General features: G+C 32.2%; 1 protein-coding gene and 1 long non-coding RNA gene across 7 annotated transcripts in view; both read right to left on the reverse strand.

Moving 5' to 3' along the window:
* The window catches only part of LOC124900216 (uncharacterized), a 61,437-nt gene extending 39,136 nt beyond the window's left edge, over positions 1 to 22,301 (reverse strand). Inside the window, exons 1-2 of the long non-coding RNA XR_007059752.1 lie at positions 19,878 to 22,301; positions 1 to 16,813 (exon numbers count right to left, since the gene is read on the reverse strand). The exon at positions 1 to 16,813 is cut by the window's left edge and continues 39,136 nt beyond it. This is a non-coding gene — a long non-coding RNA (uncharacterized LOC124900216). The remainder of the gene's footprint in view (positions 16,814 to 19,877) is intronic.
* Positions 1 to 24,909, reverse strand: part of PTPRK (protein tyrosine phosphatase receptor type K) — a 551,815-nt gene that overhangs the window by 193,340 nt on the left and 333,566 nt on the right. For all 6 annotated transcript variants that reach the window (NM_001291984.2, NM_002844.4, NM_001135648.3 and 3 more), the window contains one exon: positions 22,308 to 22,601. In NM_001291984.2, the coding sequence (NP_001278913.1) occupies positions 22,308 to 22,601 (294 nt within the window). The remainder of the gene's footprint in view (positions 1 to 22,307; positions 22,602 to 24,909) is intronic.

A 24,909-nucleotide genomic window follows, 5' to 3' on the forward strand; every position in this document is an offset into this window, starting at 1 on the left:
ACAACCTAATGAGGATACTAGTTTTGATGTTTATCTATTATGTTGAACTATAAGACTTACATTTTACAAGCAGATGAACCTTTTTTTATATTATTCAAGACATAAATCTTACATGTGTTGCTAAAAATGTATGATATATAATACAGCTACCAGTGAACTGAATCTTACATTTTTTAAAATCTAAATTTACTCCATTTTATCTTGTTTTGTCCTCTGTGTCTTTGCGTGTGTTTATACATTTGTGCATGAAAGAGAAAATGAGAGGACACTGACCTCTTTTTGGGCCTTCCCATGTCTGCATGTGTTGGGAAAGCCAGAATGTGGGTATAGCTCATGCACTCCTTAAAACTGTCTTAACACTTTTCATATATACAGAAAGAGCCTGAGATGAAAGCAATAAATCCAAATATATTTAGAAATAATTGATTGAATTGATTGTCAAATCCTTGCTGAAGGCAGTATTTCAACTTAAGAATGAGTCACATACTTCATGTGCTCAATTAATGAAAGAAAGAGCAGACATACTTAGTTAAATCTATTAGGGAGAGGTCCATTAATCGTAAACTTTGAGTAGTAAAACAAATTGCAGGAAGCTACAAATATTGATAAGATCTGTAGAGAATCTTGCTCAGAGACGGTAGTCAAATACTTGGAAAACAGCAATGTGGACATCAACACTGATAGGCTTTTGTGCCTTCGGGTTTTCTGTTTTTCTATGTGATTAGCACAATTCTAGGTGCTACTTATTTGAACACTGTGCCAGTTGTTACTCTTAAATTATTAAGATCAAAATGAAACCTAACTTTCTACTTATTTATGTTTAATATGTTAATGTTTTATATATAATACTTAATGTTAATGTTTAATATTCATTATTAATATGAATAACATTATGCTTAACATGTTTCTATTTATTAGAATAAAATACTTTTTTCCTACCAAGAAATATTTGTAAATGCAGTTATCATTCTACCTTTACTTCATTGAGATGTTTCGACTGGTTTTGGACTGGGATGGGCTTAAATTAGTTAACAATTTTTCATTTTCCCCATTCTCTTGGGTAGATTTATTCTATAAAAATACAAATGCATGATTAAACCTAAGCTCATGAGGTTGCTGAATTGAATGCAATAATGGAGGTGAATCCTTAGCACAGTGCACTGAAAATAATAAATAATATGTTAGAAATAAGTATTAATAATATGTATTTTAATATAAATTTATATTGACAAATAAAAACATTAAGGCTAATCTTCCAAAGCCTAAAACATGTTACAAGATGAACTTAATACTAAAATAATCTGAATATAAAATAGGTAGCTTGGTAGAAAAATATTTTGCAATTTCCCTTATAACTTTATGCATGGTGGCAGATAAAATGGAGAAATGTTATCACATTTGGAATAGAATAAAGGTTAATAAAAAGCTGAATTAGCTTACTTCTTAGAGCTAGGGTTTTATATTTTTTATGCTATGGATCCCTTTGGCAGTCTACTGAAGCTTAGTCCGTTTGTGAGAATAAGGTTAAAAAATGCTTAAAATAAAATGCAGAGAATTCCAACAGAAACTATAATACATAACTATATTACTTTACCAACGCATTTAATAGAGGGAAGTCTAATAAATATTGTAATTTCAAAGTAGTGAACAATAAATCATATTCCAAGCTATCTGAAACATCTGTAATGTGATATAAGAATATCTGCAATGTTTGTTGGAGATGAAGTCATTGTTGCTACTAACACTATTGTAGTTTGTGGACTATTTGCAATTAAAGGAAATGCTAAATTAGAGAGTAGTGAAGTGGGACATATTTTATTTTCTTGTACAAGTTCTCCTATGGCCTAAATACAATTCATGGACATGCATAGTAAGAATTCTCATTTTAGAAGAATTCTTTCAAGTCCTCTCCATTATCTTCCTTTGACACACCCAAATCCCTCACTCCTTCTCATTTTCTTCTAGAAGATACCCCAGCACCAACTCTAATTACGTATCTCCAATTAATGGCTAAACAGAAACTATTACATAGCAACTATTGTGTTTACACATAAATATCTATACCAAGATAAAGATATTTCAAAAGGAATATGAATGATGAATCTGAGATAAAGGTAACACTGAGACAATCATTCAAGTTCAGAAGTATAGCTTAGCTCACTATAGAGAAAGCATGTCTACTATTCATGAATAAAGCATGACCCTATAATCCTAGTTCTTAAAAGTTATGACCCTAGGCTCATTTTCAGATGCTTTATTAATAAAATAAAATCTTCACCTACTGGTTGTATAGGATTATTAATTGAGCTTTTGTATATGACATCACTATTAAATTGTCCAGTTCTATTATGATTTACTTTGGTAAAACTTTAACCCTCCAACGCCTCTAACTTATGATAAGGAACTAAACAATATGAGTTTGCTTCAATACTAGTAATACAAGATCAATATCTTCATCTTTAAAAAGGTTTTAAAAAACACAGAACTAAATCTTAAATTAATTTCTCCTTTTCAATCTTTAGCTGGCATAAACTGGTTTGCTGAAGTGCATATAACCAATACTGCTTTAAAATGCACAAAACTAAATTACAGGCTGGGGGGGGAGATTAAAAACATTTAATAAATTATTGGAGGGTAGAAGAAAGGCCAGGGGAAAAGAACACTTGAAAAATGGCAGAAAATATACATTATATGGAATATAATATACATTAGAATGTATGTATATATTAGCATGAAAGCCAAAAAAACCAGGGAAATATTAAAATATTTTCCACATTTTCAAACACATTTCAGAAAATAAAAGCTATCTAAATTATCACAATGGAAGTACAAAGACCTCATTGACTAAATGGTCTCCCCATATCATAGCAAACATAACAGTCCTTCATACAAATTTTACAGTTGAAAGTTTACATGTTTGCATGAAATTATATCTTCTGTGAATTCTATGTGTGCAAATTATGCTAAAACTAATATCAAATCACCTAAGACTTTGGCCTACCGCATTAAAAAAAACCTAAATCAAGGGAGAAACAAAAGAAATGACAGAAACACATGTGATGGGAAAGTTTTCCCTAATCAACAGTAATTATTTCAGTTTTACCTTAGTTTCCAATTTTGTTATATAAAAAAGAAATAATTTTTATTAGGAAGTAATACATATAAAGTATATTGTGTACATTTATTTTATCCAACCATTAATTCTTCCCCTTTTTCCTCTTTACATACAGTATGCACACAGGAAGAGATGTCTGAATTTCACCAAAAGTTAATAATGTTTTCTTTTTGCATGAGAGAGGTTTTGGTTAATTTATTTTTCTTTACTTTTTATATTGTGAGAAGGAAAATCATTCTATCCTATGATGAGGTCTCAGTCTTTTGGTAAGCCTGCATCCCTGGATTATGAAGTTAACCATGGCTTCGCATTATTCCTATATAAATATGTAATAAGTATTTATATGAATATATAAATACCAATATAAACTTAAATAAATATAAAATAGACCCAAAAGGTACACACAATTAGGAAAGTAAAATTATGGAGCTGTTCATAAGATGATTTTTTTTCCTCATTACAAATTTTCAAATATGTCTCTGCCTGAATAAATCTGTAATAAATTTATCATAAATTCATAAGGTACTATGAATACTCAAGCATTTATGAAAAATTAATGAAACTAAAGCCAAATCTATATTGTTTGTAAGAGTTTATATCACAGAACAACTGTAGTTCAATAGTTAAGTGAAAGATGATACAAAAATAAAACATATACGTAAAAAACATTTAAAACTAAAAATAGCATTGGACATTTATCAAAATTCTGCATGACAGAAGAATTTCTAGATTTAGCTCTCAGTTACAAGAGTATTTCTTCTAGATATATGTAAGGATAAAGTTACTATAATTCTGACCAGTACGTCTTCCCCTTGGCTTTAGTATTAACTGTTCATCGGAGACACAGCTTTTAGAAAGTCAATTTTCTCATAGCCTTAAGACAAAATAATTTGGTAACAACAAAGAGCAAAGAGATATTCACAAGGATTGCCTGAAGGTTATGCATTACGGACATTCCCCTAGATAGGCTCCACTTTATCCTTGAACCAAGCATAATCCCAACAGAAAATTTTTTTTTCTTATCTTTAGAATTAAGACAAGGTATGCTTTTCTGATTTATTAATATTTTATCCCCTTAAAAATGTTTATTCTGTGAATAAGAGCATAGATTTTGGACTCAGACTTCCCAGCTCAACCAGCTAATAGCTGTGTGATCTCAGGAAAGGCACTTAACTTCTTTGAGATTCTGTTTCTGCAAATGTAAAATATAACAACATCAGGACTCCTCAGGGTCATTGCAATAATTAAATAAGATAATCGTATCAAATGCTGGACAAAGTTTTTAGAATGTTATGAGTGGCTGGTAAGCATTAGCTGCTATATTATAAATAATAAATACTGTAGTAATTGATACAGATTTTGCTTTTATTACTAGTACATTTAGCATCAAATCTATGGTGTCTTCTAATAACATAAGACTCTCCTCTAGTAACAAAACTCTATAAACATAAATTTTTGTTTACTCTCATTATCCCCCAAGTTCATTTATTTTACCTTTAGTATCACTATTTTTCCCAAAATTACTTATCAACTTAGTATTCTTCTGTTAAATCTTTTTGTGCTTTAGTAAATAACTTAGAATTATTCTTGAAATTAGGAATGATGTAAATTACACATATATCCCTATGTAAATATGTAAATAAAATAAAGGCCAGTTGAATAACATTTTATATTCTATAAAATTAACATTGATATTACGTTTTCTGTTTCCTAGTGTTCCTGGAGTTATCAATATCATCTGGAAAGTACTAGGAATAAAGTATAGCACTTCTGGAAAAATATTCAACTTCCTCAAAAAGACTAAAAATGATAGAAACAAAAAAAACTCCCTCAAAATCAGTCCAATATTTTACTTGAAACACAGCCTGTGCTGTGCCTTATACATAAATATAAATGAAAAACTCACATGAACAGAAAAAAAAATATTTTAACTGGTTGATGAGAAAGCAAAATGACAGAAATATGTACACAGCCAGAAAAAAAATCCAATTTTAATAGTTAAGATTACATTAACACAGCGTTTGCTGGCAAGCACTCTAAACAAACAAAATAAATCTTAAACATACAAGTTTAAATTAAAAATAATCTCAGAAGTTAAAAAAGTTAATTGCATTAATATTTGCCATGCAAGATATCTGTAATGACTTATTTCTAAATTGAACAAAAGGAATGTATAAAATTGTTTTCTTATATATTATTCTAGTTTTTTTCATCTGAGATATACTGGGATCAACTTTGTAAAATGTCAATTTTAGTATTTCCATATTACTTCCCTCCATTAACAGGGTTAAATTACAGTTTGAGTTACTTGGTTGCTACTCAAGAGTAATATACTTCATATAACTAGGTGGATTTTAGCAAAATTTCCTATAAAAATAATTCCTAGATAATTTTAAGTTAAACTGCATTGCCAGGCAGAGTCCAACCACAGTAAGGTTCCCTATGACTAAATACTCTAGTAGGGCAAGATTGTAAAGTTGAATAGACATTTCATGAACTTAATTCTTGCAATTACCACATGTTGTATTTATTAGTAACAGTTCTATCATACAACTGATGATTCACCTTCTTAATATTACTTCTACTTACATGCCTTCCTCAAATTCAATTTAGGACTAATTTTACTTCCTGCACCTGACCTAGTAGCATTTTATTAACCATTAAGTAAAAACTTGTCAAAACATTTACTGTTACCAAAAACCTACTTTTAAATAAAAATTTAACTGAGTTCTACTCTGAGGTAAAATGTTTTCAGTTTTGAGAAACTTTAAAAATCTTATTTAAAACATTATCCTAAAAGCAGAGCAAAATAAGAGTAGTACTTAGAAGTTAAAATCTCCAAACAAAGTCACTGCAATGAAAATGCTTCTGGATCAACAGCAAATGCCAGAAAATGTGTTCTTCTCACAAACTCTTAGGAAGTAAATCTTGTGACATCTCCCAAATAAGCGGCAGCTCAATTTAATTCTTTCTTGCATTTTGATTGAAATGAAAGTGAAAAAGGACTTTGCTCAAAATATAAACAGCCCTAAGTGTTGGTGAGGTGGTAGAGAAAAGGAACCCTTGTTCTCTTTTGCAGGTGGAAATGAAAGTTGAACAACCATTATAAAAACAGCATTGAGGTGCTACAAAAAATGAAAAGGATAACTATCATATGACTCAGCAATTGGCACCTTGTGGAGATATCTGTACTCCCATGTTCACTACAGCAGAGGTCCCCAAACCCCTAGTGACACACTGGTACTGGTCCACAGCCTGTTAGAAACTGGGTTGCACAGCAGGAGGTGAGCGGAAGGCAAGGGAGAATCACCACCCGAGCACCACCTCCTGCCATATAAGTGGCGGCATTAGATTCTCATGGGAGCGTAAACCCTATTGTGAACTGTGCATAATGTTTTAAATAGGTTGTGTGCTCCTTATGAGAATCTAACTAATGCCTGATGATCTGAGGTAGCAGCGTTGCACCCTGAAACCATCCCCTGCCACCTCCTCAGTCCATGGAAATACTGTCTTCCATGAAACTGGTCCCTGGTGCCAATAAGGTTGGGGACCGCTGCACTACAGCATTATTCACAATAGCCAAGATATGAAAACAAGCTAAATGCCCATCAGTGGATAAATGGATAAAGAAATTGTGACATATATCTACATAATTCTTCCCTAAAAAAGGCAATCCTGACATTTGTGACATCGTGGGTAAACCTGGAGGACACTATGCTAAGTGAAATAAGCCAGACACAGGCAGAAAATACTGTGACCTCACTTAAATGTGGAATCTTTTTTTCTTGAAGTCAAATGAGAAACAGAGAGCAGGGAGGGGGAGAATATCTGGAGAATCGGTTACAGGCTATACATTTGCAGTCAGGTTAGGAACATTAAGTAGACAGACAAAAATGTACAGCATGAAGACTATAGTTAATAATATCCTATTGTAAACTGAAAGCACTGCAAAAAGAGTAGATTTCAGGTGCTCTGACACCCTACAAAAGGATAACTATGGAAGGTGAGCTATATGTAAATTTGTTTAACTATAGTAATTATTTCAGCATCTACATGTATGTCAAAACACATTGTATATTTTAACATATACAATAAAAAATAAACAGACCCAAGCCTAAGTTAGAAAAACCTATTTTTAAAAGAAAAAAAACAAAGAAGCTTAAGTAAGCCATGTGTTAGTTAAATTCATGCTTATTGCTATAGATCAATCTCTTTATTTTCTTTCTGGTAAATTTTCTCTTTTAAAAGTATTTATTTTTACCAATGAAATGACTTGAAATAAAGTTAATAGATGAGAAAATTACCCATACAATTATTTCCTGATCTCCACAAGTATCACATAGGGTATTTTTTATTGTTATTTCATCATACCTTGATTCTCTCATTTAACATTGTATTATGTTCATTATTGGATTAAGACGTTACACAAATAACTTTAATGGCTAAAAAATGCTTAATACATAGACATAACATAATTTATAAAACCATCTTGTTATTGTTAAGCATTTCTTTCCAATTCCCACTTAAATATGTTATTTTTTTAATGTGTGTGTGTGTGTGTGTGTGTGTGTGTGTGTGTGTATTATTTTAAGGCCACTATTACAATGGAGACAAATAATATATATAATTTTATGATAAACACCAGGCACTTTCCAGAACTATATGGGATAATACAGTTTACTTTTTATTTGAAAAACAAAATAAATTAATGGTGACAAAATAAATGTTGAAACGTTAGTGAATGAATATCTTCAAATTATAGTAGGCATCTTCCTTTTGTTTTTACTCAGATTTTATTTAAATTAGACTGTGAGCAAGTTTTAATAATGGCAATATGATTTCCTAAATTATTAGTTGGACTATCGTATGTAAAATTTTAATTTTGAATAACACAAAGCCTAATAAGAAACTTCATGAAACAAACACCACAAAACAGACCAAGGCAGATCCTGAATACTGCCTGTGGGAGCCCGAGTGTTGGGGATGAGTTAAAACTCCCCTGCAGGCCACAAATAAGTGACAGGGAAGATAGCTACATCTTTGTCTCTACATCTACGCTTAATTTATACCTATCCATTATACTTATCCATCAATAGATAAGTCTATTTCTATGTTTTTACTCAGCAAAGCCTACTTTACTAGGAGACAATGATTAAAACAACAAGAACAACAAAAAACTCATGACATGGGTAATTCCTTTATAATCTTATTTGGGGGGTTAAAGAAAACTATTCATTTGAACTTGCACTTTCTAAAGGTAATATTTCCTAAATCAATCACTTTATTTAAAATGCAAACAGATCTTACCTGGCATATTATTTACTTGAGAAATGACCTCTTTCTTAGGAGTGCCACCTTGGGAGCTAGCACTGAGAATTCATGGTCATCTCTTAAATTAACAACTGTTGTTACCTTTCATTTTTTTCCATAATAGATGCACATGTTGTCACTAAAGAAGAAGAAATTAAAACGACAATTCCTTCCAAACCACACAGACTTGCAGAGAACATTTAAGCAGTACAAAATTTATCACTAAAATAATGAAAGTAAAAAGGCAGAATGTTTATATTTCATATCAATTGACAGATTATGAATGACTTTAAAATGCTAGTGTTATAGATATTGCAAACTAGCATTTTTAGACATAAGCCCTAGTAAGAAAGCAAAAAAAAAAAAACTGTTAACACTTAGATTGTGCAGTGATGCATATGGATACACGTGCAAATACACAGTTTAGAAAATAATAAACGAATTACACATTTCCATGAAAAGCTTCCTTCAGTTTCACTATAAGATAATTCTCCCATATAATGTATAATGATGTACCTTACAAAGGAAGTAGGATGAATCTAAACTCAGGGAAGGAGTGAGGTCTAGGTGGAGTAGAGAGAAGAGTGAGAAATGGAAAGAAGAAACACTTCAAGTAAAATTTTACTTTCTTCAATACAGTGGATCCAAAGTCATTTCAGCCAGCATGTCACAACCTACTTACACATCAACTAGGTTTGAGTGACAAAAATTCACCAAGCCAGAAATGATGCAGTATTTGTCAAAAAGATTGAACCGCACTTTCATATTAGTACAAAAAACCGACAGTGCATGATTATTGCCACAAGCATGAGGTTGTTTAGGGGATAATGCGAGCACCTTAACAGTAGGTAGTAATGGAAAATGTCTAACTCTCTTTCTTACCTTTCAAGGCAGGCACTTGTAATATGCCTTGTTATCCTGCCAAACCATTTCTCACTCCAGACTCTTTAAGTACCACCTGTCCAAGCTGAGAATATATTTTTAACTGAAGACATATACAATATTCCTCACTAAAAACCACGATATAACAAATGCGTTACTAGTCCCATGAAAATTAAACTATTATGTACTGTTTGTAATAAGGGAGCAGCTCTGTTTTGCTGTTGTGCTGCATGAAGTAGACATTGATTTCTCTATTATTTAGAGACTTCTGATGATTTGTATATTAAAGGGCTGTAAGTATGCCCTATTGTTTTATAGAAGAATATTTTAAATTCTGGATGAATTTCTTCATTAGATCAATTCTTGATGTTAAATTTAAGATAAAGGTAACATTTACCCCATTTTAACTTTATTATTACAAGTATATGTATACATGTTTCAGTCAAAAATATGTTTCTAAAAGCTTAGATTTCCAAATTTGACTCTCTTAGAGCCAATTTCATAATTGAGGCACTTCTAACTCGTCTTCTTAAAAAATAAGGGATTGATCAACCAACTCTGGAGAATGTTTTGAAAATCTTTTCACTACACAACTAATAACTGATTTGACTAAGCAGAGCTTTAAAAATGGGCTTACTGGTTATTTACAAAATTATAATTATAAAAATGTTATCACTGAGATAAAGGAGATCAGCTAAAAAAGTAGAAATCAAATTAATACCCAGGATAATTAGCATCATACTTAAGGACTGGAACAGCTTAGGGAATGAATCACTAACAATTTTCCCTACCTTTGTTTTAATAATAGGCAATTGTACAGTCATCTTCTTCAGATGATATTTGTACTGCTGTTCTTAATAAAACAACTCAGTCTTGCTGACCTACTTTTTAGTTTATAATAACATTCCAGTAAAATCTGAAAGGGTAGAAACATTTATTTTCTTCTCTTCACTGAAAGAGAGATAGGTGCTTTATCTCCCCTGTGCTACTGAAAATCCTTGGAAAGTCTAAATATTTAAGTTTGTCCTACAGAGGCTTCTGACTCAAGGGTTTAAAAAATCAGGGTAATTATTTTCGCTCATTACCAAAGCACTCAAGTGTAGAACTTGATAAAAAATTTTAAAAATAAGTTGTTCTAATTGGATGTTGTAGTAAGATATCAAAGTAATACTGATATGTAGATATATATATATAGTGTGTGTGTATATATATAATGTGTATATATATACACACCCACTATAGATATATGCATATCAATGTATATATACTAGATATATATGTATGTATATGATATGCACATACATATACACACGTACATATAAGTGTGTAACATGTACATATGTGTGTACATACGTGTGTATATGACATATATTCTATATCTAGCATATATACATATATATTCTCTCACACACACGAACTATAGGTATATCAATATATTCCAAAGAATGGGCACACCAGCACTGCTAATCATGGGGCCATATGCTCAGGTCCTTCTCCTGTCATCCTGTGGAGGCATCTGAAGGGTGCATATACAGCATATGAGCACCAGGAACCACTAGGGTGAGGGACAATGAGAAGTAAGAGAGCAATAAAGGGACGAATATAGAAATATGCTCAACACACATTAGCTTACTTGCAAGTATGCCTGGGATTGGATGATAAAAACCAACAGTAAACTACATTTGATTCTGCCCTTAGCATAATGCTCTGAGCTACCCATTCTGGGGAACAATTAAAATGCAGCTACAGAAATCACAATTCAACAAACTGATCACAGTTCATAAATCACATATTGAACAAATTTAAATACTTGTGAACACAAAACAATCTGCTACATATTTTTAAGTTATCTCTATGTAAAATAATTACCAGTTTCTGCCCTTGAGCAGGGAGGCTTGAGTAATCAGAATAGTTCATGCAATAAGATACTAACATATACAGTGAAATTTTTCCTACAAGAGCATAATTTCTAAAAATGTGGTTGAAAGAAACTTACTTCAATTTCCAATTCAAGGAAATTATAGTATACTCATGAATCTCGCAAGAGGAATTAAATGGTGATGACACTTAAATCTGTATATCCTGCTGTCTGCCCTCTCTATGAACCATAAACCCAGGAAAATAACTGCCTGACCCAATGCCTCATTTCTAAAAATAAGCACAGAGATTTGCCTTCTAAAACTTTCCCCAATGTTTGAGCCCTTCAAGTTAAAACCTGTCCCTATACCTTAATGTTCCAAGCCAGAATTCACTTCCAATGTGTCACCAAGTTCTACTGATTCTACCTATCAAATCTCTTTCAACACCTGTCTCCTCATTGGAATTCTTATCTCCTCTGCTTCGGTTCAAGTACTGATCAATTTTTGCTTAGACTGAAGTAGCAGCCTTCTAATCTTTCTGAAATCTCCTTTCAGTCCTTTTCTTAAACTATCATTAGAGAAATCTTTAGAAAACACAAATTATTCTAAGCATTCTAATAAAAATTCAAATAATTCATTCTTTAAAAAATGTATTCCCTTACATAAAATATTTTAATGTATTAATTAAGAATTAAGATGAACTGATGGATGAATAAAAAGATGTAAAGGTAGATCAACATTTAGTATAGCAAATACAGCAAAGGTAAATTATAGTGGTGGACATATGAGTGTTCACTGTATAATTCCTTCAGATTTCTGCATGTTTGTAGTTTTTAAAATATTAGAGGAAAAATATCTTTAATGAAATGACTTTTAATGTAGCAATGGCTAATATTTACTATGGTCTTCTTATGTCTCATACATTGTGCTAAGTAAGCACTCTGCAGGAGTCATCTCCATTGATGTGAAGGAAAAATGTTTAATATTGTAAACATGTTTGTGGCTATCCAGAAAGAAGAAGGAGTGGGGAGGGAAAAGAAACCCTCATTTGTAGCACTTAAAATTTCAGTGCTCTAACGTTGCCACTAGCGTAAAAATTAGGAATAAGTGAGCATCAGAGGATCATTATATAGTGTTTCCAACATACAGATAAAATAAACATAAATAACCTCAAGAATAGAAATAATGGTATAATATATTAAAATAACTAGGAGGTTTAAGTGCATGTTCCTTTGTTTAAAATATACTTGTAAATATATATAAATTTATTTCAAAATAATCATTTCACAACCAGCTGGCAAAATTCCTGCAAATTTAATAAATTGATTGTTAGCTTTAGTACATGCCCAAATAGCTCAAAAGTATCAAATTGGGCAGGTTCAGTTATTGATTTTTATTTTATAGATGAAGAAGTGAAACATTACATTAAATTACTTGCACATCAGTAAGGATTACAGCAAGATTTGAACCTAGACTTTACTGGCTCTCAAACCTTAAGATAACCACCTATTTTACTGATTGACTGCTTGATGAAATTATACTCATATTTTAGAGATGTTTTGTGCACATCTATTATACAGCTTATTGGTTTAATTATTAACCTGCATGTCTACCTTCTAACCATTCTGGGCAGCTCAACACAGAAATGCATTCAGGCAGCCTCAGTTTGCATTTATGAGTTTACACTAGTGCCTGACACACAGCAATTACTCAGTACTTGTGAGCTACTGTAATCATAATTCTCTAGACTTTGAGTAGCTAGAGAACAGAGTTTTTATCTTAGAATATCCAGTAATTTAGACAGAGTCTAGAATACAGGAGATACTCATGTAAAAGAAAAGCTTAAAAATGCAATACAAATGATAGTCTTGGTTTTTCTCCTACAATAGCTGTTTGATATTGATCAAATCACTTCCCTATTGAGACTAAATGCCCAGAATGATGATTAATAAAGGAGTTGGACTTGATTAATTATAAAGCACTTACTTGCACTAAAACCATATGATTGGCCTTGATGGTGTCAGTAAAGCGCATTGATATAATACTTTCAAAAAGTAGTTGAATAGTATTTGTCAAGAACTTTTCAGTTATGTGGAAAAAAGGTACATTCATGATCTTCACCGCGGCTTTTACAATGGCCAATAGCGGGAGTTAGTCCAAACTTTCAGTAACATAAGAATGGTTACATACATTCAGATATATATATATATCCAACAGAATATTAAGCAGTCATTTAAAGTGATGGTGATAATGTTCTGTAGAAACAAAGGAAATGGGTTGGCATGATGGCAATTACAATAAGCGGAATATAGAACTGTATATACTTTGTACTTTACAACTAAAATACTCCCAGGAACAGAGAAAAATAATAGTGCATTGACAAAAATGACAATAGTTTTGTAAACATTCTAAAATAATGAGTTTTTTTCTAAATTCTAGTTGCAACATTTGATGTATTATTTTAATATATACATAATTTAAAAAAATAATTTGGGTACGTAAGCTCTATGCAGTCTTTACAGAATATGGGACTTCCAGCAAGGGCCCTCCAAAGAAATCAAGCTTAAGGATAGCTAGTTCACCCATGTCACATTTTATCCACCTAAACAGAAAGGATTTGGCTGTTGTAGAAAGAAAACTCTAAATCAGTATCTGCCCCCCACCCCAAATAAAAGCACAACATCCAAACATGCACAATGCACACACATGCATGAAATGCAAAATTAGCTGGAGGAGAGAGATGGAGAAGCAGGAAAGAGGACTCTGGAACAATGACTCTGCTTTAATATTCTTCACTAATATAATTTTTAAGGTGGTATCTAAATTTTTAAAATTAATTCCTCTTAAAAGGAGAGTGTGTACATATATATATGCATATGTGTGTGTATATTCCTTGTATTAGCAAAAGGTATTATAGGTTCATATGTAACAAAAATATGGTTTTTAGTAAATTTTGGGTAGGTTGAATAACAGGACAGAATATAGCAACTGCTTAAAATAATTTAATTAACAGGTAATAATAAACTGTTTTATGATTGCTTATTATTATTTTGTTGTGGTGAGGGACTATGTAGAAGTGGGAAATAATAACATAGCCAAAGAATGAAAGATGAGTTCTTTAAACTCAACTTCACTGAGATGATTTGGCTGAGACAATTAAAATGAACATCACTCAATGATTTCTAGGCCATATCATATGTAGTGACAGCTGAATTTGCACAGATCTTGCTTAGGGTGACATAAAAGGCATGAATTTCTGCCCTTTGAAGTTCATTTTTTACTGAGTTCACAAAGTTTACTATAAATAAGAAGACTTGGGATTAGAATTCACTCATTTGCTTTTTCCTTTGAACATGCTTTTTTTCCCCTCTGCAGTTTACATTCAGGTTGGTGGAGAGGAAAGAAGATTGAAGAGTTATCCTCCAGCAATTATTAGCCATGATAAGGCCATATCTTGCAGGAAGACAATGAAGACCAGAAAGTGAGATCCTAAGCTGATGATTCCATGTAGTAATGAGTCAAATTAAATGATGAAAATAATGAGATTCATCCATATATCATTTTTTTCAATCAAGAAATTGCACAGAATGACCAACACTCCCCCAAAATGCTAATAATACCTAGGATGGGTATGGTTATCCATACCCATCTGTCAGAACCTGATTTAGAGATTTCTTTCATATTTCAAAACAAAGAAAGGAAATCACAATTCAACAAAAGATATGAATAGGGTGTGAGAATTGAAGACAGAAGTAAATTCTCTAGGTAAAGAGAAAGAAAATCAAGAGCAAGTCTATACCTCATAGTGACCCCAATAGCACCATCAAAGAAAAGTCTCAAACTCACAGGCTAGATCTCTTGAACCTGTCTTTGTGACTAACACATCCCTTAGAGTTTGATGCCTAGATCTATATCTTTAAAATTCTATCTAGGTCATTTTCTTCATCATATACTCCTGGTGTTATCATCATTTAAGACATTATAAATATACCATTTTACTTTTAAAGCCATTTCTACTTCCTGATATCAAATAAAAAACCTAGGACTTGAGGGGAAAGAACATTTCATGAGACTGATGCTGTTATTCAAATCATTTCTACCTGAAGATTTATTGTAGTTATGCAAAATTCAATAAAAACAAACAAAGCCAATAAAAAGAGTACTTAATGATACAGTTAACAGACTCAGCATGTGGTAAAGTACTATGAATAAATAAATACAGTGTCATTAACACTGGTTACCAAATGTCTTTCACCAACTAGTCAGTCAGATGACACAATTTTAAGGTGAAAACAACCCAACTCTATTAGTAAAGTTAATTACACTGCTACTGATGATACCACCTATAAGGAAATGTGCCTTGAATTGGGATGTATGACTAACTGTACAACCTGCTCCTGAGGTGAAACCCAAAAGGTACTGGGCAAGGCTATTTCATATTTGTTCAACTTTCATGACTCTTATGCTGGGAACTCCTAGCATAATAGACCATTAGCAGAATGTATAGGTGTTGATTACCTTATAAGTCAGTCTGTCTCTGTCTCTCCATTTCCATAGAAATTTAGAATAACATTTCTATATTCCCATGAACCCCAGAGGTTTAAAAAAACACAAACAACTTTGATGATATATATTAGAATATGAACTATATCTTTCATTTTAATACCTCCATCTGTCCATATAGATTTCCTATATCTGAGTAGAAAGGAAAGAGGGAAGGCAAACCATCCTTATGGTGACTACTGGCTAGACATTGTTTTATGCATTATTTCACAAGTAAGGAATTATGGATAAGGCCATGGCTTTGTTCAACGGAAGCATTAAACCAACTCTGTTTAGAAAAATTAATAGTGTTTGGGAAAAATTATTTTTGGTCAGATATTATCCCTCTCTTCTTTGGATTACTGAAGTATGTTATATTTTTATTGTATCATTTATTATATTTTTATTATGGTTATAACACTAGCCTGTCAATTCCTTAAGAGCAGGAATGTTGTCTTCTCAATGTTTTATCTTCTGCAGTCCTGCGTGTGGCGATGTGTACAACTTGGGCCCTCACTAAAATTTGTGAAATAATTAAACATCTCATCAAATACACAGTAGCTCTTGAATTTATCTCCAATCTCTCATGATTTTCCCCTCTAATATAATGTATTATACCATTTTTTTCATGTGTATTAATATTGGACAATTCACATATTTGAATAAGAAAAGTAATTCAAACAATAAAGTTATTCACTTATAACATATCTTTAAAATCCCCTTATAAAAGTAACCTTCCTGATTATTATGAATGATAATATTTTCCAGGAATTTATGGATTTCCTGTTTCTGATTTGAAATGAGAAAGATGCTGTAGAGAAGACATCTATCTATCTATCTATCTATCTATCTATCTATCTATCTATCTATATGCATGTTTTCATGATCTCTCTGCTTCTAGTCCTTCCTTAGCTTCCAGAGATGGGATGATCCTTTTACAAACAAATCTAGTAATGTCAGTCTGTATCATACAAACAACTAGGTAATCATGTTAGATTATGTTATTATCCATAATATATTCTCTTTCTTTTCTAATAACAGAGCAAGATTAGTAGACATTCCTGATGAAATAGTAACCATGGTTTCTCTCAAATTTGCAGTCTACCTGAAAATTAGCAGAATGTATAGGTGTTGACTACCTATACATTATCCATTAGAGGTAGATCATGTTAGACTTAGCTGCAGCTCACCTGCCAGCCTCAGTTCTACCACAAGCCTAGAGTTAGCCAGTGATCCACCTGAACCCATCTATTTTCAGAAACCCAAAAATATCATTAATGTTTACGAGGAGGTAAAAACATGCAGTTTGCTCTCATTTTATTCATTTCACTTTGCATTTATTCTGTTTATAGGTCTGGTCCCTAGTGACTTCTAGGAGCTTAAGTGTGAGGCATTGGTTGTATAACTTTGAAGACCTATTAATTAACACGGTACTGTTAACAAAGAAAGAAGCCAACAGAAGTTTTTTTCTGAATAAATATTTTTCAAACAGAAGTATTCTCTACAGAATCTAAAAACCAAAAATTAGGTTATTACTCACAAAAAGGAAATCTAAAATGAAATTTTATTCTTACATTCCCAAGAAAATTGAAGAACTGCTTCCATTACTTTTCCTGTGGCTTTTTACCTTTAGTTTGTTTTTTATTTCAATAATAATAATAGCATTGCCTTTTAAATTTCTTGCTCAAAAACAATACAAAGCCATATAAAGATCATATATAAGAAGCTCATACATTTCAAAAAAATTTAAAGCAAGCATTGATATAAGCCAACAATTTAAATCAAATAGTAAGTCATCCTTACATTGTGAAACCGAACCAACTCTTAGAAGAGTTGTTTATTTTGTTTCAACCTCTAGGCTGAGTGTTAGCGGTTACTAGTCTTTGTGATTGATAACTATCTTAAACCATAGCAAAAATCAATATATGGTACCATTTTGCTGATGATGCTATAGACTAAAGGCTAAAATTTAACTTCTCACTTTGTGGTTTCTGGTATATGCCTGAGTATTATTTTGTTTTGTTTTTCCTTCCATTTTGGATTTGGGACAAGAAAAAAAATGCATTTTTAGTAAATGCTTACTTTTAAAATAAGACACTCTCCTTTTCACTGCTTCATAGATCTAACTGTTTCACTGAAAATTGCCAAGAGCATTGAACTTCAATATAAGAGTAGAGAGTAGTTTTCCCAACTGCATAAATGTATTATGTTCTGGACACTCTGAACTATTGACCTTCCCTATGAGAGAGATGCTGCTAAAATGTCAGTTAATCATAAAGCAGTTCCACAATGGGTTACCCAGAAGCAGAAGGCAATTTAAAAGAGCAATTTTAACATGCAATTGCCAAAGCATGCAACACAGACAATTTCTGATGATGGCATATTTTATTTCCATTTAATAAGAGAAAGAGAAACTGTATTTGCCTAGCTTCTATACCAGATGGTATACCCAGAGGAAATAGACACACAGAAAAAAAAAAAGCAAGCATACTTTCTCTGATTGTTCACTGGAGTTTCTGAATTACTTCCCTTTTAAGACAAATTAAAAATTTATGAAGTGCCTGAAGAAACATTATGTGAACAATAGCATGGGTCAGAGTATAAAGTAACAGCGAAATAATCATACCCCTCAGGTTCCTAGAGAAGCATGAGGTAGGCTTCAGTGGCTTCAGCCACTGGAGGCTGTAATTACCACCTCTCCTAAGTCAGAGACCCTGAAGCAACTAATTGCAGTTACCAAATGATTATAATGCACTTTGGAAGGAAAACAAACAAACAAAAAGCTTTGGCAACCAGACAGGATATTTTCAGAAAAGGATAAAGTACTTTTACACTTTAACTGTTTAAAGTATTTAAAACACAGCATATATTGGAGAGTTAAGCACTAATCAATTGGGCTTTCAATAAATGTGAAGTTGCAAATATTAACCTATATTTTCTCAGAGAATAAGTTAGCCATGCAGACTCTATTTTTTAAAATGTACATCTCTTCCAGACTTTACTTGTTGTGCTTTTATTTACTCATGCTATACTATTATAAGAGGGAGAAAAATCACCTATGATAGGAATAAGAGGAATAAGTATTAAGGCCGTTAAAAGTCTGAGAAAAGGAGTTGAGGCCCATCTGTCTGATATTGGACAAGTTACTGTTTTGTTTTTGTTTCCTGAGTCTTAAATTTACCAACTAAAAAGTGAGAAAATAATATATTTCACAGGATTGGTGTGAAAATAAAATATCATGATACATTCACTTCATATGTTGATTCTACACTAGCATTAATCCATACTTGGCCACAAAAAAACCTACATTTACATTTGAAAATGTAAAATTTATTTTTTATTATAAATAAGGAAAACCTTTGTATTGACTTGCTGGAAAATTATTTATTGACAGATTTCCATCAAATAAACATTTACTATTATCAGAAATAAAAGGTCAATGCCTCAAATACCTTAAAATGGAATTTTAAAAACAGTAAATTGTAAGTAATTTACTTTTTGATTGGTACTTATTTTTACAGCCACATAGTCTAACATGCAGGGACTATTAAAATAGCTACTTTAAAATTATCAACATTTATTCAATCAGATTATATTAATGGCAAATTCTACAACTGTAACATGGAATAGTCCCAGTCCTAATTAAAAAAGAATGGTTTATAAATCTAGTATTCAGTTCCTCTTATAGAACCAGTATTTAGGCATGCAGAATTTAACAAAATTAGATGGTAACTTCCTCCAAAGGTTATTTTTGGAGTCTCAAAGGTATTTCCCAAGATTATGAAGCATTTATAAGTTTTTGCAATCTGTACTAAAATTCAGTTAATATCATAGTTAACATAAACTGTGTTCTATTTTGTTGATATGAACTTCTGGGCTGAGGCCAGTAGTGGTATTGGTAATTTCAAGTCTGGGGGACCTGAAATTTGGGGAAAGGTAAATGGATCTTAAAGAAGGGAAGTGGATGAACATACATCATAATCCTAACTAACACTCTGTATTTAATTATACTATATATCAATTATGTTCCATTTCTTTTTATAGACTGTTTAAAAATTAATACAATATATACTTCCATAAGCTTCTCTTTATTTTCTAATAACAGAGCAAGATTAGTAGACATTCCTGATGAAATAGTAACCATGGTTTCTCTCAAATTTGCAGTCTACCTGAAAATCTAGTCTATAAGTACTTCCCTCCCCAAAAATCTTGCAGACATACCTTATGAGGACATTAATTAGCTATAATAAACATGTGATAAAAATTCACTACATGTGAAAGATAGTTTTAAAAACAAATAAACTTAATACTGTTGGGAGTAAAACTACAAGTGATTGAGCCTGAAAGCATTTTATGCCACAAAGAATACACAAATTAAATGTTTCTCAGAAAAAAGAATCAGATAAAAAGACAGTATAATTCCAAAATATCAAGACATTTATAAGTTAGAAAGCAGCTATGGGCCAGGCACGGTAGCTCACAGCTGTAATTCAAGCACTTTGGTAGGCCGAGGCGGGCAGATCACTTGAGGTCAGGAGTTCAAGACCAGCCTGGGCAACATGGTGAAACCCATCTCTACAAAAATACAAAAATTAGCTGGGCATGGTAGCGCATGCCTGTAATCCCAGCTACTCGGGAAGTTGAGACAGGAGAATTGCTTGAACGCAGGAGGCAGAGGTTGCAGTGAGCCAAGATCACGCCACTGCACTCTAGCCTGGACAATAGAGCAAGACAAAAAAGCAGCTATGAGTGTAAGTTAACTATCCTCATTCCCTCTCACATAGATAGGGCTATTCTCAGAATAAAACACTTCAAAGCACTTTATAGTAATATTTTTACTTAAACAGTCCAAAGTCCACTCAGAACATAAGTATGGGGATAAATCAATATTCAGTAACATGTTTTTATCCACTTAACACAGTATAACTGGCTTCAAAACACAATATTATTTACATGCAATCTCCATGGCTTTCACATCTGGAACCAATTTCAAATAATTCCTAAGTTAAACAAAAATTACATTATATTAACAATACACTGTGTGGTAATGCTAATTTTTTAAAGACCTATTTTGACGAAAATAAAAAAATAAAGCAGGTGAGATATTTAAAAGAAAGTAGTTTGGGCACAGGAAGTCAAGAGGGAAATCACTGGAATACCAAATTGTCAAAATTGTTAAAATTTATATGTACATTATAAATGTATGTATATGTAGAAAAGTGTAATTTTATTAGAAAACATGTATGCAGTATTCTTAGTAAAATGGACTCCATAGTTCAATTTTTCACATTAGCATGGGATATTAATTTTGGAATAGAGAGTGAACTAATTTTTAGTTTCCAAATTGCTTCCTCTTTAAATGATTTCTCTGACTAGTTGAGATTATGGGGTCAACTTGCCTCTCCCTCAGAAAGTTTATCTTCTATCACAGAAACAATTTGTCACATGACCTCGATTGAAAGGACATAGACATACAGAATATTTGAAAAGCAAATTGTGAGATTTAGGCTGAGCCATGGAAATTTACCCAACATCTTCTAGCTTAAGCTCCTTTTCAACAACCAGATAAATATATACAGCAATCAGCAAATTATTGGACTCTCTATCATCTAAGTCTCAGGCTAATAGTTGAGAAGTTAAATTTCCTATTAGTAAACATCTTTCAGCAGGAGTTTTTGATATATAAATATGATGCTGGACTAAAAAATATGTTCTACGATACATCAGGTAACTGAATGGGTTTTGCTTGGATGGTAGCTCAGTACTCCTGGTGGGTAGCCCAACAATACTGTCAATGATAAACAGATGCTCAAGAAACAAAAGACAAAATAAACACTACACTAAAAATGTAGTCAAGTAAATTAGATATTTAAACTTTTTATTGGCTTTTAATTAATAGCTAACAATTCCTCCCATTATAACATGGTAAAGAACCAGGATGTGTGGTTATATACAATTTTTTAATTTTCATTTTTTTTGTGTTTTCTCCATACACTATTATTTTCACTACTCAGTTTTAGTCATGAGGAAGGCAACAGAAAGGCTTAAAGTGTAAGGAAAATCTCTCTGTGTTCTGCAGCTGGGTGTCAAGCTCCTGAGGTAATCCTCAACAACAGGACATTCTGAAGAAAATAGTTATCTCAACGAGGCATTGTCCAGAGTAACTTTTCTTATCCATATTATAAGATGTGGCCTTTACACTGACTGTAACAAAATTACTGAGGGAGAGAATTTCCACGTAGTAAAAAAGTATTCGGTATTTGCTTGAACTAAAATGATCTTTTCTCTCAATAATGCTTTCAATTACAGCTATCAGAGATTTTTGGACTGAATATGTAGCAGGCTCACCAAAACTACCATGCCAAAAAAGGACTCTAGATTCATAATAATAATGGCTTGAGAATAGAGAAGCACTCCCATGTCCTCAAATCAGTCAAATTATGACATAATCAAGGTGATGATTTATGTAATTCATTGGAACTCTTAATAGTGTGACTATATCATATATCAAATAATGAGAACCTTCAACACTGCATGTATTAATGTGTCTTATGCTAGATTCCTTCACAAGGTAGAAAAGGTCTGCTACTCAGTCTTACCTGCACATTTTGTTCTGGTGATTAGTGGAGGTCCTGGGAGCCCCGTTCCACCTTCACCAGGTCTTGTAAGTAGAACTCGGATCTCATATTCGGTATCTGGATCTAAATGCCATAATTTGTAAGTTGGAGCATTGACTGCATGGGTTTCTGTCCAGGATCCTGATGTCATTCGGTACTCTACTTCTTTCAGGATGATAGGACCATCGCCAATGATCGAGTTGGCATTTAGTTGGATCAGCAAATATGTAGGCCCAACACCAAGAAGCTGAGGAGGAGCAATGGGTCTTGGCGGTTCTAGGAGAGATGAGTGTGCACTTCAATTAGTAAGATTTAAAATAATACAAAGATATATTAGTGTCTAATAAGGCCTAAATGCTTAATGGATCATTTATTAGAAATGCATAATAAATACTTGAAAGAAAACTAGAAGACGCATGATCTGACAACTGTACTTTTAAAGAACATATAATTTTGCAAGTGCATATGACTATTTTAACATAATTTTCCTGTATTAAAAACACATTTTTTTTCAGGAGATCAACTTGTAAAGTCACAGTATACAAAGGAAATAAAAAGAAAATATTTAGATATGGATAGCTCTAATTAGCTACTAAGAGAGTAGAGTTGATCTTTGACAATTTATTTCATTCACAAACTATGCCCAAGAGGTATTTTTCTTTTTGCTTTCCTTGTTACTTCTTCACAGTTTCTACAGATGAGTAAAGGAAGAAAGAATAACATAACCGAACTCAGAAAGTGATGCCAGGTGCTAACTTGTTTCTACAAATCTGCCTCACAGTGTGACAAATTTAAATTTACACCTAGGCACAATCACAAATCACTAAACATCACTGGTCTTTGGGAGCAGCATAAGATAAGGCAATTCACCAACTATTAAACTCAAATATCAAAGGCACACTATAATTTAATTTTGGATATCTTAAGATATTCTGCTTGAAAGAAACTTTGGAAAACATTATTTCAACATTTGTACTTACAGAAAAGTTGAATGATATATTAAGGCACTTTTTTTTTCTTTCATTAGAACAATGTGACTGAAATGAGACACCGAACTTTATGAAGGACTCAACAGCTATAGCTCTGTTCATATGGTCTTTCCACAAGGGATAATAACTCATAAAGTTCTTTGAATTCCTGGAACACTTCTCACTTTTCTCAGGAAAGTCAAAAGACCTAAAGAAAGTGTTAATAAAGTAGTAATTGCTCAAAAATTAATTTAAAACTTTTTTTAAGAGTTGGAGCAAATCACATAAACTATTAAAACACAACCACAAAATGCTCCCTCAGTCCAACCCACTACAGGTACGGGGTGGACTGAAGAAGGTACAAATAGAGGGAAGTCATGAGCACATAATCAATATCTTTCTAGTTGGATTTTTTGTTTCAATGGCAATGCATTGCATGAAAAATATACAATGCAAATAAGGCCTGTAGACAGGTTTTACCTTCTTATGCAGGTTTAAATGAAACAAGAATGTTCAGGTGCAGACCAGGATTTTCTTTTTAACCCTGATTGTATAAAAGTATAGTTTCTAGCTTAAAAGCCTCTGAATTACAAATAACCTTAAAATTAGGAATAAGATTATCTGGTCTGTACAGCTACACAGGCTAAAGTAATTTTCAAGAAGATTCTTTCAAAATTCATATGATAAATATTAATTGAGTAGCTATTAATTGTTAGGCTGTCCTACACATTGGGTATCCATATAACATTGTAGGGGAGACATAGTAAAAAGAAATCAATGAATTCATTATTTTAAACTGAAATTTATATAGGAAACAAAAAGAAGACTGATAAATAATGAATGTAATATCAATATTTTTTGTCCAAAATCACTTGAAGGACATAAGTAACTCCTCACAAGTATTCATGGCTCATTATGGCAGTAACTTTTAAACTAATTATTTGTAGAACCACATGACCTTGGGATTCACTGGGCTCATGTTTAAAACAAAAACAAAACTAAGATCAAAGATGATAACATATGCTATATGAAGTGCAAACATTTATAATTTCTATAGAAAAGTGGTTAACATATGATTTACAAACTTTAACTACAACATCCATTCCTGATAGTTTGCAAATTGTTTCAACAATATGTAGTCAAAATTGCATAGTAAGTGAACTCTTTCCAATTTCACGACTGAATTCAACGGAGAAGTTATTCACAAAAGAAAAAAGTTTGAATAAAATAAACACAGTTTAGAATTTTCACTTATCAACTATGAAAGACAGAGCTAGACATTTCATACCATGAAATTTTACCAACTGCTCTAACAACTTTTGTACTCAGAGTTTTAAAAAGTTTTTGTAGAGAGGGAGAAAGTTGATATATTCTCAAACCCTAAACTAAAATGAAACTGAATCGAGAAGTGAACATAATAGAAAAAATGTAAATGTCTTCCGAGATTACCTAAATGCTGCACATATTTTAAGAAGCAGTCTGTATTTTGTGAATAAACTGAGTTGCCTCATATGTGCAATATTTGTTTTCATTCCAGATGGCTCATATACTAACTAATTTAAGTTGGAAAGAATGCTAAATTCACATCTCGCTGGGGTGCTACCCCAGTGTAGGGA

Source organism: Homo sapiens, chromosome 6 (genome assembly GCF_000001405.40).
Source record: "Homo sapiens chromosome 6, GRCh38.p14 Primary Assembly".
NCBI lineage: Eukaryota > Metazoa > Chordata > Mammalia > Primates > Hominidae > Homo > Homo sapiens.